The sequence below is a fragment of the Homo sapiens genome, chromosome 6, assembly GCF_000001405.40.
Source record: "Homo sapiens chromosome 6, GRCh38.p14 Primary Assembly".
Lineage (NCBI taxonomy): Eukaryota > Metazoa > Chordata > Mammalia > Primates > Hominidae > Homo > Homo sapiens.
Genome location: NC_000006.12, coordinates 55,105,907 through 55,123,374, shown reverse-complemented (window position 1 = coordinate 55,123,374; position 17,468 = coordinate 55,105,907). Strand labels below are relative to the sequence as shown.

At 35.4% G+C, this 17,468-nt stretch overlaps 1 protein-coding gene across 2 annotated transcripts in view; it reads right to left on the bottom strand.

Moving 5' to 3' along the window:
* The window catches only part of HCRTR2 (hypocretin receptor 2), a 178,245-nt gene extending 161,339 nt beyond the window's left edge, over nt 1–16,906 (bottom strand). For both annotated transcript variants that reach the window (XM_017010798.2, NM_001526.5), the window contains exon 1: nt 16,830–16,906. The gene's annotated coding sequence lies outside the window, so the exon portion shown is untranslated. The remainder of the gene's footprint in view (nt 1–16,829) is intronic.

The window sequence follows — 17,468 nt, the reverse complement described above, 5'->3', positions numbered from 1 at the left end:
AAAGATGCAGAAAAGGCTTTTGACAAAATTCAACACCCTTTCATACTAAAAACTCTCAATAAACTAGGTATTGATGGAACATGTCTCAAAAAAAAGAGCTATTTATGACAAACCTACAGCTAATATCATACTGAATGGGCAAAACCTGGAAGCATTCCCTTTGAAAACCAGCACAAGATAAGGATGCCCTCTCTCACCACTCCTTTTTTTAACTTTTAATTTTTATTTTTTATTATTATTTTATATATATACATTTTTATTATACTTTAAGTTCTAGGGTACATGTGCACAACATGCAGGTTTGTTACATATGTACATATGTGTCATGTTGGTGTGCTGCACTCATTAACTCCTCATTTACTTTAGGTATATCTCCTAATGCTATCCCTTCCCCCTCCCCCCACCCCACAACAGGCCCCAGTGTGTGATGTTCCCCTTCTTGTGTCCAAGAGTTCTCATTGTTCAATTCCCACCTATGAGTGAGAACATGCGGTGTTTGGTTTTTTGTCCTTGCGATAGTTTGCTGAGAATGACGGTTTCCAGCTTCATCCATGTCCCTACAAAGGACATGAACTCATCATTTTTTATGGCTGCATAGTATTCCATGGTGTACATGTGTCACATTTTCTTAATCCAGTCTATCATTGTTGGACATTTAGGTTGGTTCCAAGTCTTTGCTATTGTGAATAGTGCCACAATAAACATATGTGTGCATGTGTCCTTATAGCAGCATGATTTATAATCCTTTGGGTATAGAGGGAAATTTACAGCACTAAATGCCCACAAGAGAAAGCAGGAAAGATCTAAAATTAACACCCTAACATCACAATTAAAAGAACTAGAAAAGCAAGAGCAAACACATTCAAAAGCTAGCAGAAGACAAGAGATAACTAAAGTCAGAGCAGAACTGAAGGAGATAGAGACACAAAAAACCCTTCAAAAAATCAATGAATCCAGGAGCTGGTTTTTTGAAAAGATAAACAAAATTCATAGATCGCTAGCAAGACTAATAAAGAAGAAAAGAGAGAAGAATCAAATAGACACAATAAAAAATGATAAAGGGGATATCACCACTGATTCCACAGAAATACAAACTACCATCAGAGAACACCATAAACACCTCTATGCAAATAAACTAGAAAATCTAGAAGAAATGGATAAATTCCTCGACACATACACCCTCCCAAGACTAAACCAGGAAGAAGTTGAATCTCTGAATAGACCAATAACAGGCTCTGAAATTGAGGCAATAATTAATAGCTTACCAACCAAAAAAAGTCCAGGACCAGATGGATTCACAGCTGAATTCTACCAGATGTAGAAGGAGGAGCTGGTACCATTCTTTCTGAAACTATTCCAATCAATAGAAAAAGAGGGAATCCTCCCTAACTCATTTTATGAGGCCACCATCATCCTGATACCAAAACTTGGCAGAGACACAACAACAAAAAAGAGAATTTTAGAACAATATCCCTGACGAACATCGATGCAAAAATCCTCAATAAAATACTGGCAAACCAAATCCAGCAGCACATCAAAAAGCTTATCCAGCATGATCAAGTGGGCTTCATCCCTGGGATGCAAGGCTGGTTCAACATACACCAATCAATAAACATAATCCAGCATATAAACAGAACCAAAGACAAAAACCACATGATTATCTCAATAGACGCAGAAAAGGCCTTTGACAAAATTCAACAGCCTTTCATGCTAAAAATTCTCAATAAGTTAGGTATTGATGGGACATATCTCAAAATAATAAGAGCTATTTATGCCAAACCCACAGCCAATATCATACTGAATGGGAAAAACTGGAAGCATTCCCTTTGAAAACTGGCACAAGACAGGGATGCCCTCTCTCAACATAGTGTTGGAAGTTCTGTCCAGGGCAATCAGGCAAGAGAAAGAAATAAAGCATATTCAGTTAAGAAAAGAGGAAGTCAAATTTTCCCTGCTTGCAGATGACATGATTGTATATCTAGAAAATCCCATCATCTCAGCCCAAAATCTCCTTAAGCTGATAAGCAACTTCAGCAAAATCTCAGGATACAAAATCAATGTGCAAAAATCACAAACATTCCTATACACCAATAACAGACAAACAGAGAGCCAAATCATGAGTGAACTCCCATTCACAATTGCTTCAAAGAGAATAAAATACCTAGGAATCCAACTTACAAGGGATGTGAAGGACCTCTTCAAGGAGAACTACAAACCACGCTCAACGAAATAAAAGAGGATACAAACAAATGGAAGAACATTCCATGTTCATGGATAGGAAGAATCAATATCATGAAATTGGCCATACTGCCCAAGGTAATTTATAGATTCAATGCCATCCGCATCAAGCTACCAATGACTTTCTTCACAGAACTGGAAAAAACTACTTTAAAGTTCATATGGAACCAAAAAAGAGCCCACATTGCCAAGACAATCCTAAGCCAAAAGAACAAAGCTGGAGGCATCACGCTACCTGACTTCAAACTATACTACAAGGCTACAGTAAGCAAAACAGCATGGTACTGGTACCAAAACAGAGATACAGACCAATGGAACAGAACAGATCTCTCACCACTCCTATTCAACATAGTATTGGAAGTTCTGGCCAGGCCAATCAGACAAGAGAAAGCAATAAATGGTATTCAAATAGAAAGAGAGGAAGTCAAATTGTCTCTGTTTGCAGATGACATGATTGTATATTTAGAAAACCCTATCATCTCAGCTCCAAATCTCCGTAAGCTGATAAGCAACTTCAGGAAAGTCTCAGGATACAAAATCAATGTGGAAAAATCACAAGCATTCCTATACAACAATAACAAACAGTGAGCCAAATCATGAGTGAACTCCCATTCACGACTGCTACAAAGAGAATAAAATACCCAAGAATACAAATTACAAGGGATGTGAAGGACTTCTTCAACGAGAACTGCAAACCACTGCTCAAGGAATTAAGAGAGGGCACAAACAAATAGAAAAACATTCCATGCTCATGGATAGGAAGAATCAATATCATGAAAATGGCCATACTGCCCAAAGTAATTTATAGATTCAATGCTCTCCCTATCAAGCTACCACTAACTTTCTTCACAGAATTGGAAAAAATATGGAACCAAAAAAGGGCCCACATAGCCAAGACAATCCTAAGCAAAAAGAACAAAGCTGGAGGCATCATGCTACTTGACTTCAACCTATACTACAAGGCTACAGTAACAAAAACAGCATGGTACTGGTACCAAAACAGATATATAGACCAATGGAACAGAATAGAGGCCTCAGAAATAACACCACACATCTACAACCATCTGATCTTTGACAAACCTGACACAAACAAGCAATGGGGAGAATATTTCCTATTTAATAAACGGTGTTGGGAAAACTGGCTAGCCATATGCAGAAAATTGAAACTGGACCCCTTCCTTATACCTTATACAAAAATCAACTCAAGATGGATTAAAGACTTAAACGTAAGACCTAAAACCATAAAAATCCTAGAAGAAAACCTGGGCAATATAATTCAGGACATAGGCATGGGAAAAGACTTCATGTCTACAACACCAAAAGCAATGGCAACAAAAGTCAAAAATTGACAAATGGGATGTAATTAAACTAAAGAGCTTCTGCATAGCAAAATAAACTATCATCAGAGTGAACAGGCAACCTACAGAATGGGAGAAAACTTTGCAATCTATCCATCTGACAAAGGGCTAATATCCAGAATCTACAAAGAAATTAAATTTACAAAAAAAAAAAAACATCAAAAATGAACAAAGGATATGAGCAGACACTTCTCAAAAGAAGACATTTATGCAGTGAACAGACGTATGAAAAAATGCTCATTATCACTTGTCATTAGAGAAATGCAAATCAAAACCACAGTGAGATACCATCCCATGCCAGTTAGAATGGCAATCATTAAAAAGTCAGGAAACAACAAATGCTGGAGAGGACGTGGAGAAATAGGAATGCTTTTACACTGTTGGTGGCAGTGTAAGTTAGTTCAAGCATTGTGGAAGACAGTGTGGCATCTCCTCAAGGATCTAAAACTAGAAATACCATTTGACCCAGCAATCCCATTAGCGGGTATATACCCACATAAATTGTTCTACTATAAAGACACATGCACACGTATGTTTATTGTGGCACTATTCACAATAGCCAAGACTTGGAACCAACCCAAACGCCCATCAATGATAGACTGAATAAAGAAAACATGGCACATATACACCATGGAATACTGTGCAGCCATGAAAAAGAATGAGTTCATGTCCTTTACAGGGACATGGATGAAGCTGGAAACCATCATTCTCAGTAAACTAACATAGGAATAGAAAACCAAACACCACATGTTCTCACTCATAAGTGAGAGTTGAACAAGGAGAACACATGAACACAGGGAGGGAAACATCACACACTGGAGCCTGTTAGGGGGTTGGGGGATAGGGGAGGAATAGCATAAGGAGAAATACCTAATGTAGGTGACGGGTTGATGGGTATAGCAAACCACCATGGCATGTGCATACCTATGTAAGAAAACTGCAGGTTCTGCACATGTACTCCAGAACTTAAAGTATAATTTAAAAAAGAATAAATAAATAAATAAATAAGAAAATTTACAAGAATAAACAAATAACCCCATTAAAAAGTGGGCAAAAAATGAACAGGCACCTTTCAAAGATGACGTACATGCAGCCAACAATCATATAAATAAAAAAGCTCATCCTCAATAATCATTAGAGAAATACAAATCAAAACCACAATGAGATACTACCTAACACCAGTGAGAATGGCTATTATTAAAAAGTTAAAACATAACAGATGCTGGCACGGTTGTGGAGAAAAAGGAAAACTTATCCACTGTTGGTGGGAGTGTAAATTAGTTCAGCCATTGTGGAAGACGGTGTGGCAATTCTTTAAAGACCTAAAGACAGAAATACCATTCAACCCAGCAATCTCATTACTGAGTATGTACCCAAAGGAATATAAATCATTCTATTATAAAGACACATGCACACATATGTTCATTGCAACACTATTCACAATAGCAAAGACATGGAGTGAACCTAAATGTCCATCAATGATAGACTGGATAAAAAAATGTGGTGCATATACACCATGAAATACTATGCAGTTATAAGAAAACCCAAGATCATATCCTTTATAGGAACATGGATGGAGCTGGAGGTCATTATCCTAAGCAAACTAACTCAGGAACAGAAAACCAAATACCACATGTTCTCACTTATAGGTGGGAGCTAAATGATGAGAACACATGGACGCATATTGGGGAACACACACACTGGGGCCTTGTGGAGAGTGAGGGTGAGAGGAGGGACAGGATCAGGAAAAATAACAAGTGGATACTAGGCTTAATACATGGGTAATGAAATAATCTGTATAACAAACCTCCATGACACAAGTTTACTTACATTATAAACCTGCAGATCCTGCACATGTGCCCCTGAACTTAAAATAAAAGTTAAATAAAGGAAAAACAGAAAAAAAAACAAACAGTCTGTGGAGGGAAGTAAAAATTAGAAGTAACTGGCAAGAGGATAAGTTTTCCAGTTCCCTTTTTTTTTTTTTTTTTTTTTGAGACTTTATCCCAAGGGCAGGTGCAGCATGTTGGCTAAAACCTCAATAGAAATTCCAGTTTCTACACAGTGGAATCAGGAAGTGAAATCCTGTGGATGGAGAGTATGCAGAAAATAATTACAACAGGTGCAATTGCTCTGTAATTAAAGAGAGCACAATAGGGTGATTATAGTTAATAATTTATTATATGTTTCAACATAGCTAAAAGAGAAGATTTTACAGGTTCCTAGAACAAGTAAATAGTAATGTTTGAGGTGATGAATATTCTAAATAATCTGACCATTATGCATTGTATGCACAATGCAAAATATCACATGTACCCCATGAATATGTACAACGATTGTGTATCAGTAAAAAAACAAAAACAAAAAAAGAGCACTTGTCTGAGATTCAGTATATTGGATTCTAATCCCTTGTTTACTACTTTAGATCTGTTTGATTCAACCTCTTTGAGCATTTAGCTTGTCTTGTAAAATGAAATAGCTACCATGATACTTTCTCACTTAATTTATCAGAGCAATGACAAATATCTAATATAGCAAGGTATTTGAGTGCTTTAAAAGATTATAAATTTGTACTCAAGTATTGCTCACATTTACATTTTCCTTGGTTTATGAACTTTGACATTTTTACAATATGGATCATATTCCAGACACTATTTGAATGGTGTCCAAGTTCAGATAATTATCATGACTTAGCTTTTCTCAGTCCATTTAATGCAATTGTTATTTGATCATCTGACATCATACTGTACATGTAGGTTTTTCATTGGTTCTCTCTTTTATATACAACTGTAGATGGAGTGCCCCGGTCTTTGTCAGATGTTTTATTTAATGTCCAATCTCTAATGAGTGAGGAAAGCACGTTTAGCAAGGATGGAAATCTGCTGCCTGTGGCCTGTGACTTCTTCACACTTTCCTTTTACCACAAATTAGAGTTCTGGGGAGTTTCTGAACCAACTTAGTCACTTGGAGCTCATCATTAGACTGTTAGTACCTTTCATAATTATGACCTTTGAGGAGAGGCTTCTGATCTGTTGCCACTGGAATAAGAGTTTTTTTTTTTTTCTCTCTCTCTTTACAGTACTGTTCAGAATAACCACTATTTTTGATACAATCATTTGGAAGCAGATGTCCAGGTCTAATTGAATATGAACAAAGAATTTTTTTTAGATCAATTGTATTCTAGGTATTTCAAGAAGAAATATTTTTAATTTTAACCACAAATTGGTGATTCTTTTCTCTCCTTGCTTCTCCCTTCTTCCCTCTTTCCTTTCTTCTCCTCTTCCCATTTTTTTCTTTCCCTCTTCCTCTTCCAACTCTCTCTTTTTCTATCTCCCCCTAGAAGTATTTTAGCCTCTTTTAGTATTTTTTAAAACTAAAAACCAGTGATGAAAAATATATATATTCCCTAATTAAATCTAAATACATCGAAGTATTTTCAAGATTATGCAGACTAAAAATTAGTCGACTCAAATAATTTGCATTAACAAAATAATTTAAGTCTCATACATGCCAGTAAACAATGTTATACTATGTGATACAGTCTATCTGTTTTACTGGCCATTTCTTATAAATAAAAGAACTTCTGCATTCAGACCATAGATTCCAGATGAGGAAAACTTCTCAAGCTTTACATATAATTCTGTTTCTCTTTGGAGTTAGTAAATTTCTATTACCACAGCACAAGCCAATATATTGATAATATTTTGTAAAAGTTAAAAAAAATGGAAATGTCTTGAGACAAAAAATCCCATGAGGCTACAAGAAATAAATTTGGATTTAAAAATTCTTGAATACCTGAGACATTTTGAAGCTCTATGGAAACATATGCATGCATAGATAATTTGATATTTTACACACATACATCATGGAAACAATATCAACCTCAAACAAAAGAGATGTAGTAATTGAAAAATACAAATATATATATATATTTAAATTTTAACTTAGAGTAATAGTTTGAATGAATATCTCTGTATTATTTATGTTTCATCTTCTCATGGTTCAGCTATTATCATTTTCTGATTAAGTAACAGCTGATATCCCTAAATCTACTAAAATCTACATAAAATTGAGGTGGACATGTCAATTGCTTTCCATTTGACTTAATAAAGATTATGGAATAACAATAACAACAATAAAAATGGTAACTACCATTCTAAAATTCCACTGGAATAAAATGGTAGCAAGCATTTTAGAGAATATTCCTGGCACTACGCTAAGCACTTTACCTGCTGCTACTACTGCTAGTACTACTACTACTACTACCACACACACACACACACACACACACACACACACTCTTTAGCAACACAATGCATTTGATATTACTATATTTGTGCCACAGTTGACTAAGCAGAAGTTTAGAAAATTGATTAAATAGCCCAATTTAATACAACTACTTTAGCAGTTGAAGGACTTGAACTTGGCCTGATTGATTATTCTTTTAAATGAAAAGTCTCTACTCTGAATCTCTAGGATTGAGAACTAGAAGTGATCAACACCTAGATTCTGTGCTCAAGCCACAAGAGTCAAAATTGAATAAGTAGGTTGGAGAACTCATAAGTTAATAAAATCAATAGAATATACATGGATAAATGAAAGATAGAAATGTTTGAATGATAAGGTACAGAAGTAGAAGAGATAAGGTAATAAACTCAGGATTATACTAACTATGCTAAGGTAGTACACCTTAATTCTGCAAACACTATTGGAAAATTCTCACCCACAGCTCTGTTCTCTGTCACTTGACTACAGTTCCAAAACCTTAGCTTGCACATTTCTAATTTGTATGTCTGCATGCCTCTGAAAGTGCAGCAGTGTCATTGGAAAACAAGGGTCTTTGGTAGTGAAAACCTTGCTTCTCCACACCCACTCACCCTTTAATTATAAACTTAGACTTGAGTGCTGCACTTTGTACTCTGATTAGGGTAAGTATCTTCTACTCTACAGAATAGGCACTATGTTTCTGTATTAGATAACCAGCTCAAATAATGCTTTTGTGTAGGTCAAATTATAAAAATACGAGCATTAATTTATTGGAATATGGAGTGTTTCTTATAGCATCAGCACTTTATACTCATCATCTGAAAATTTTGGAGACAAATTATAAATTTTTAAGCAACTATTGTATAGACAGCAAAACTAGCAGCATTTTCCTTTTCCATATTAGTATCCTGTTTTTGTGCAAGGTAGGTGGATGTTGCAAATACAGAGGGTAGAAATTCTGAATGGCTTTCAAATATTTGGATAATCTGGGTTATCGGAATTTGGTGGAAACATATTGTCATTTGATTGTACTCAGCTCAGGGAAACAGGAGCATTACTGGGAGGAAATACTGTTAACAGTGTTGGTGAGCAGGATGAACGCTAACTAATCAGGGGAGAAAAGGGATTGAAGTTTCCAAGTAGCTCACATAGGTAGTTGTTTGTTCTATTTTGTGTTGTTTTGTGTGTAGAACAAGTTTATCACTTTTTTTTAATTTGAATGATATATTTTATTTTTTCATTTCAATAGGTTTTTGAGAAGCAGGTGGTGTTTGGTTACATGAATAAGTTTTTTGTGGTGATTTCTGAGATTTTGGTGCACCCATAACCTGAGCAGTGTGCACTGTACCCAATCTGTAGTATTTTAACCCTCACCCTTCCACTTTTCCCCCAAAGTTCCTAAAGTCCATTGTATCATTCTTATGCCTTTGCATTTTCACTTAAGAGTGAGAACATATGATGTTTGGTTTTCCATTCCTGAGTTATTTAACTTAAAATAATGGTCTCCGATTCCATCCAGGTTGCTATGAATGCCATTATTTCATTCCTTTTTATGGCTGAGTAGTATTCCATTATATATACCAAATTTCCTTTATCCACTGCTGGTTCATGGGCATTTGGGCTGGTTCCATATTTTTGCAATTGCGAATTGTGCTGCCATAAACATGTATGCACAAGTGTCTTTTTTGCATATGACTCCTTTTCCTCTGGGTAGATACTCAGCAGTCAGATTGCTGGATCAAATGGTAGGTCTACTTTGAGCTTTTTAAGGAGTCTCTGCACTGTTTTCCATAGTGGTTGTACTAGTTTACATTCCTACCAGCAGTGTAAAAATGTTCCCTTTTCACCACATCCACACCAACATCTATTTTTTTTTTATTTTTTAATTATGGTTAAAATGGATAAAATTACTCTTGCAGGAGTAGGGTGGTATCACATTGTGGTTTTGATTTGCATTTTCCTGATAATTAGTGATGTTGAGCATTTTTTCAAATGTTTATTGGCCATTTGTGTATCTTCTTTTGAGAAATGTCTATTCATGTCCTTAGCCCACTTTTGGATGGGATTATTTGTTTTCTTCTTGCAGATTTGTTTGAGTTCCTTGTAGATTCTGGATATTCCTCATTTGTCACATGCATAGTTTGTGAAGATTTTCTCCCACTCTGTGGGTTGTCTGTTCACTCTGCTGATTATTTTTCTTGCTGTGTAATAGCTTTTTAGTTTAATTAAGTCTCATCTATTTATCTTTGCTTATGTTGCATTTGCTTTGGGGTTCTTGGTCATGAAGTCTTTGCCTAAGCCAATGTCTAGAAGGGTTTTTCCAATGTTATCTTCTAGAATTTTTATGCTTTCAGGTCTTAGATTTAAGTCTTTGATCTGTCTTAAGTTGATTTTTGTATAAGGTGAGAAATGAGGATCCAGTATGATTCTTCTACATGTGGCTTGCCAGTTATCCTAGCACCATTCCTTGAATAGGGTGACCATTCCCCATTTTATGTTTTTGTTTGCTTTGTTGAAGATCAGTTGGCTGTAAGTATTTGGCTTTATTTCTGGGTTATTTGTTCTGCTCCCTTGGTCTATATGCTTACTTTTACACCAGTACCCTGCTGTTTTGTTGACTATAGCCTTGTAGTATAGTTTGAAGTCAGGTAATGTGATACCTCCAGATTTATTCTTTTTGCTTTGGCTATGTGGGCTCTTTCATGGTATCATAGGAATTGAAGGTTTTATTTCTAGTTATGTGAAGAATAATGATAGTATTTTGATGGGAATTGCATTGAACTTGTAGATCGCTTTTGCAGTATTGTCATTTTCACAAAATTGAGTTTACATATCCATGAACATGGGATGTTTTTCCATTTGTGTTGTCTATGATTTCTTTCAGCAGTGTTTTGAGGTTTTCCTTGTAGAAGTATTTCACCTCCTTGGTTAGGTATATTCCTAAGGTTTTTTTTTTTTTTTTTTGCAGCTATTGTAAAAGGGGTTGAATTCTGAATTTGACTCAGCTTGGTCGTGTTAGTGTAAAGCAGTGTTACTGATTTGTGTACCTTGATTTTGTATCCTGAAACTTTACTGAATTCATTGATCAGCTCTAGCAGCTTTTAAGATGAGTTTTTAGGGTTTTCTAAGTATACAATCATATCACTGGCAAACAGCAAAATTTTGATTTCCTCTTTGCCAACTGTAATTCACATTATTTTGTTCTCTTGTCTAATTGCTCCGGCTAAAACTTATGGTACTACGTTGAATAGAAGTGGTGAAAGTTGGCATCCTCACCTTGCTTCAGTTCTCAGGGGGAATGCCTTCAACTTTTCCCCATTTAGTATAATGTTGACTGTGCATTTGTCATAGATAGCTTTTATTACCCTAAGATATGTTCCTTCTATGCTGATTTTGTTGAGGGTTTTAATCATAAAGGGATGCTGAATTTTGTCAAATGCTTTTTCTGCATCTATTGAGATGATCATGTGATTTTTCTCTTTAATTCTGTTTATGTGGTGCATCACATTTATTGATTTGCATATGTTAAACCATTCCTGCATCCCTACTATAAAACCTGCTTGATCATAATGGATTATCTTTTTGATATGCTTTTGAATTCAGTTAGCTAGAATTGCAATGAGGATTTTTGCATCTATGTTCATCAGGGACATTGGTCTTTAGTCTTATTTTCTTGTTAGGTCCTTTCCTGGTTTTGGTATTAGGATGATGCTGGCTTCATAGAATGATTTAGGGAGGATTTCCTCTATCTTTTGGAATAGTATCAACAGGATTGGTACCAATTATTCTTTGAATTTCTAATAGAATTCAGTTGTGAATCCATCTGGTTTTGGACTTTTATTTGTTGGCAATTTTTAAATGATCACTTCAATCTCACTGCGTGTTATTGTTCTGTTCAGAGATTTGATTTCTTCCTGGTTTAATCTAGGAGCTTGTATATTTCCAGGAACTTATCCATCTCCTCTAGGTTTTCTAGTTTGTGCATGTAAAGGTGTTCATAGTACCCTTGAATAATCTTTCATATTTCTGTGGTATCAGTTTTAATATCTTCCATTTTGTTTCTAATTTAGCTTTGGATCGTCTCTCTTCAGTTAATCTGACTAATGTTCTATCAATTTTATCTTTTCAAAGAAACAGCTTTTTGTTTCATTTATCTTATGTTTTTTGTTTCAATTTCATTCAGTTCTGCTCAGATCTTTGTTATTTCTTTTCTTTTGCTAGGTTTGGGTTTGGTTTGTTCTTGTTTCTCTAGTTCCTTGAGGTGTAACCTTAGATTGTCTATTTGTGCTCCTTCAGACTTTTTGATGTAGGCATTTAAGGCTATGAACTTTCATCTTAGCACCATTTTGCTGTATCCATTTCCATCTTGATTTCATTGTTGACCCAAAGATCATTCAGGAGCACGTTATTTAATTTCCATGTATTTGCATGGTTTTGAGAGTTCCTTTTGAAGTTGATTTTCAGTTTTATTCCACTCTGGTCTGAACGAGTACTTGATATAATTTCGATTTTCTTAAATTTGTTGAAACTTGTTTAGTGACCTATCATATGATCTATCTTGAAGAATGTTCCATGTGCAGTTGAATAGAATGTATATTCTGCAGTTGTCAGTGGGATGTTCTGTAAATGTCTGTTAAGTTTGTTTGTCTAGGGTATACTTTAAGTCCATTGTTTCATTGTTGACTTTCCATCTTTATGACCTGTCTAGTTCTTTCAGTTGAGTATTGAAGTCTCCCACTATTGTTTTCTGTCTATCTCATTTCTTAGGTTTACTATAAATTGTTTCAAAAATTTGGAAGCTCCAGTGTTAGGTGCATTTATATTTAGGACTGTGATATTTTCCTGTTGCACTATACCTTTTATCTTTATATAATGTCCCTCTTTGTCTTTTTTTTAATTGTTGTTGCTTTAAAGTTTGTTTTGTCTAATATAAGAATAGCTACTCCTACTTGCTTTTGGTGTCCATTTGCATGGAATATCTTTTTCTACTCCTTTACCTTAAGTTTATATAAATCCTTATCTGTTAGGTGAGTCTCTTGAAGATTGCAGGTATTTGGTTGGTGAATTTTTATCCATTCTCCCATTCTGTATCTTTTAAGTAGAGCCTTTAGGCCATTTACACTCAGTGTTAGTATTGAGAGGTGAGGTATTATTCTATTCATCATGCTAGTTATTGCCTGAATACCTTGTTTTTGTTGTTGTTGTTGTGTTATTGTTTTATAGGTCCTGTGAGGTTGATGCTCTAAGAAAGTCCTATTTTGGTGCATTTTGAGGTTTGTGTTTCAGGATTTAGAACTTCTTTTAGTAGCTCTTGTAGTGCTGGCTTGATAGTGGCGAATTCTCTCAGCATTTATTAGTCTGGAAAAGACTATCTTTCCTTTATTTATGAACCTTAGTCACTGGATACAAAATTCTTGGCTGATAATCATTTTGTTGTAGGAGGCTAAATATAGAACCCCAATCCCTTCTATCTTGTAGGGTCTCTGCTGACAAATCTGCTGTTTATCTGCTAGGTTTTCCTTTCTAGGTTACCTGATGCTTTTGACTCACAGCTCTTAAGATTCTTTCATTCTTCTTGACTTTAGATAACCTGATGACTATGTGCCTAGGCAATGATCCTTTTGTAATGAATTTCCCAGATGTTCTTTGAGCTTCTTGTATTCGAATGTTTAGGTCTCTAGCACCTCCAGAGAAGTTTTCCTCAATTATTCCTTCAAATATGTTTTACAAACTTTTAGATTTCTCTTCTTCCTCAGGAACACCAATTATTCTTAGGTTTGGCTGCTTAACATATCCCAAACTTCTTGGAGGCTTTTTTCATTAAAAAAAAAATCTTTTTTCTTTGTCTTTATCAGATTGTGTTAATTCAAATCCTTGTCTTTGGGCTCTGAAATTCTTTCTTCTATTTGTTTGATTCTATTGTTGAGAATTTCCAGGTATTTTGCATGTCTACAAGTGTGTCCTTCATTCCCATAAGTTGTGATTGTTTCTTATGCTACCTATTTCTCTGGAGATTTTTCCATCCATATCCTATAACTTTTTTTTTTAATTTCTTTAAGTTGGTATTCACCTTTCTCTGGTGCCTCCTTGAGTAGCTTAAAAATTGACCTTCTGAATTCTTTTTCTGGCAATTCAGATACTTCATCTTGGTTTAAATCAATTGCTGGTGAGCTAGTGTGATCTTCTGGGGTTGTTAAAGAACCTTGTTTTGTCATAGCACAGGAATTGTTTTTCTGACTCCTTCTCATTTGGGTAGATTATGACAGAGAAAAGATCTCAGTTCTTTTGTCCAATATGTGTTTATTTGATGTGGTGCTCTCCCTCTTCCCCTAGGAATGGGGCTTCCTGAGAGCTGGACTGCAGTGATTGTTATTTCTGTGTCTAGCCACCCAGTGGAGCTACCAGGCTCTGGGCTGGTACTGGGAAGTGTCTGCAGAGTCCTGTGATATGATCAATCTTCAGGTCCCTCAGCCGTGGATACCAGCACCTGCTCCAGTGGAGGTAGCAGGAGGGGAGTGAGGTGGACTGCCATGCTCCCTCAACAGCACCGAGTTTATATGCAGGCAGCCAGTGAGTGGAGCTGGGAACTTGCCCCAGGCTACAAGCCTCCCTGCTGAGAAAACAAGCAGGATTTCAGGCTTCGCCCCTCCCCACAATGCTTTCTGTGCTCTCTCCCTTCACCCCAACCCCCCAGTTCTGCCCTGGAAAATTTGCACTCTGTTGAAATTATTACAAAATTACAAAAAGCCAGATGTTTTCTTCTCCCTGTGGCCTTTCCCCAATTCCACTGGCAGCCCTCCCCAAGGACACCTGTGAAATAAAGTCAGAAATGGGTTCCCTGGGCTTCCTTAGGGGCCAGAAGTGCCTACAGGGCTCTTCCTGCTGCTGCTTCTACTTTTATATTCCTTTCAGCTCTCTAAATTCATTTCAGCTCTAGGTAAGGTTAAATCCTTCTCTCTCATGAAGGATTTAACCTAGAAGGATTTAACCTTACCTAGAAAAATTTAACCTTATCTAGAGCTGAAATGAATTGGGGTGAGGATGTGTGTTCAGAGGTAGACTTTCCCCATCTCACATTTTGGGCACTCACAGCTTTTCAGCTGTCTCTCGGAGTTTGCAGCAACAAGCTGCTTCTTTCAAAGGGTCTGTGAATTCTTTTGGTTTTACTGGTATGTTCCTGTGGTAGTTCTTGGAGCAAAAGCTCATAATGTGAGTCTCCACCCACTGTTCTGTCCATCCGAGTGGGAGCTGCAAGTTAGTCCTACCTCCTATCCACCATTTTCCCGATCTGAAGGGTATAAAGTTTATCTCCTTATGAAGCAATAAAAAAAGTTGCCTTCAGAATAAAACCACTGATTATCATATAGGAGTTTGATTTCATGTAGCATGTTTTAAAACAATTTTTAAATGCAGTTTTAAAATTTCATTTAGTTTTACCTCTTATCATCATGAATTTATTGATAATAATAAAAGTTAACATGTATCAATTTTTTTCTTTTCTGATTTTAGTGCTATTATATTTTCAACCAAAAGTATGGATAGGTGGTTTAAAATAGAAAATTTTAAGCACAGCAAATCATAAGCAATGAATATGCACAAAATTATGAAGGGTATTTAGAAACACCCATGAAGTATTACAATAGTCATAGCATACTTCCAGAGGCTGACTGTGAGTAAAACAGAAAATGATATAAGCACTCATCTAATTACAATGAGTAGATGGTTGTAAAAATCAGCAGTAAATTTAGAAAATCAAAACTATACCAGGATGTATATTTAAAATATTATTCTTATTGTTTGAAATTTATGTATGTGTAAAACTTGATAAGAAAGGAAACTGAAGCAAGTCAAACATTTTGTGAAACTATTATTTTTGCAACAATACTAATATATACATTTTTTTAAAGATTAGACCTTTTAAAATATGCTGCCAATTTTTAAAAAGGTCAAGGAGAAACTATAGTGTATATGTTACAGAACCTATGGGGAGAAAAAAAGGGAGAAATACATATATTTGTATAGTAAGTAAGTACTTATGCCTTATGCCTTTCCCTTTATATATTGAAAAGAGACAGAGAGACAGAGATAAAAATAAAGATACCTATATATTCATAAATGTATGGATTATCTCTGAAACCGAAAACAAGTAGCTAGTAACGGGAGTTGCTTTGGGGAGCAAAGAACTGGGAGGCAAGAAGTCAGAGTAGGAAGAAGACTTACTTTGAGTCATATATCCTTTTATAGTATTTGAATATTTTTTCAAGCATGCTCATTTCCATTTCAAAGATAATGCTATAAGACTTTATAAATGATCAATTTTTAAAAATCATAAAATTTTAAAGAATAATTACCAGAAAATATTTTGCACCTACAAACAAGACATCTACACGGAAAGTAAGAAAATGACAAATGTAGATAAACCAGCAAGCAGTAATTTGCTTATGTGCCCTTTGCAATCACTTGCAGAATCACCTTGAAAAGAAAGACAGTCATAGCAATCACTTACAATCACCTTGGAGAGTCACACTAGAAGGTGCTTTCATGACTCCTTGAATTACAGATAGTCACCTCTGTCTGAGATTGAAAACGTTAAGTATCTTTTTCAATAAACAAGCTAAACACAGGCCCCTTTACAGCCTACATGAGTGATATGAGCAAAAGGGGCATGTAGGCATGTGCAAAAGATTTGTATAAAATAACAGCACATAGGCTGAATTTAACCCAGGGTTTTGTCAGGACTAGCTTCATATATTTACCATGATGATGTCTGAGAAAACGGAATCTGTAGAATGCTTGGTGGTTAACAAAAAGTTGAAAAATGGTGGCAAAATATTTAATAAATTGTCTTTAATAAATCAGAATATTCCTTAGGACGATTTCTAAAACATGGTTGCTATTCAATAAATATTTATTGAATTGACTTGAATAAATAGAAAAAATATAGAGTAAATGAATTAAAGTACATACCTTGAATGCTCAAATTCCACCTTCACTAAAAATAACTCACTTCAATATATTCACCTCTTGATTTGTTTCAGTGAGTCAAAAGGAATGCTGAAAACAGTAACTTTTATTATACGTAATAAGATCTTTTGTAATTACATAAGCAGTAACCTTGAGATCTTGCTGTGCTCTGATAGGTTGGCAGGGAAGTTGCTGGTAAGAGTTTTTAAACTCAAGGTTGAATTAATATCTGTCTCCGTGGGAGAAAATAGTCAGCACAAAGGGGTAAGAGCTATAGGAGGTGAGTAATTCCATGCGTTTTTAAGAGTGAAGAATGGTCCATAGTTGACAAACTCAGCAGAATTTTTTAAGACTGAATTTCCATTAACACTACAAGGCATTATAATAATATTCTTCTCTTTTCTTTTTTAAGTACACTTAACAAGACCACTCCAGTGAAGACAGAATTTTAGATTTCAATCTAGAAAGCTTCTTGCAGTGGTATAAGTAATTTGAGTATATTAATCTACACATTAAAAAAGGCATAATTAGTAATCTGATTTAGTTGAGGAAAGCACTTGAGCTGGGATTTCCTTTGACCAATAGAAAATACTAACTGGTTGCTCAAAAACCATTTTACTCTCATATATATGTGCGACTCTA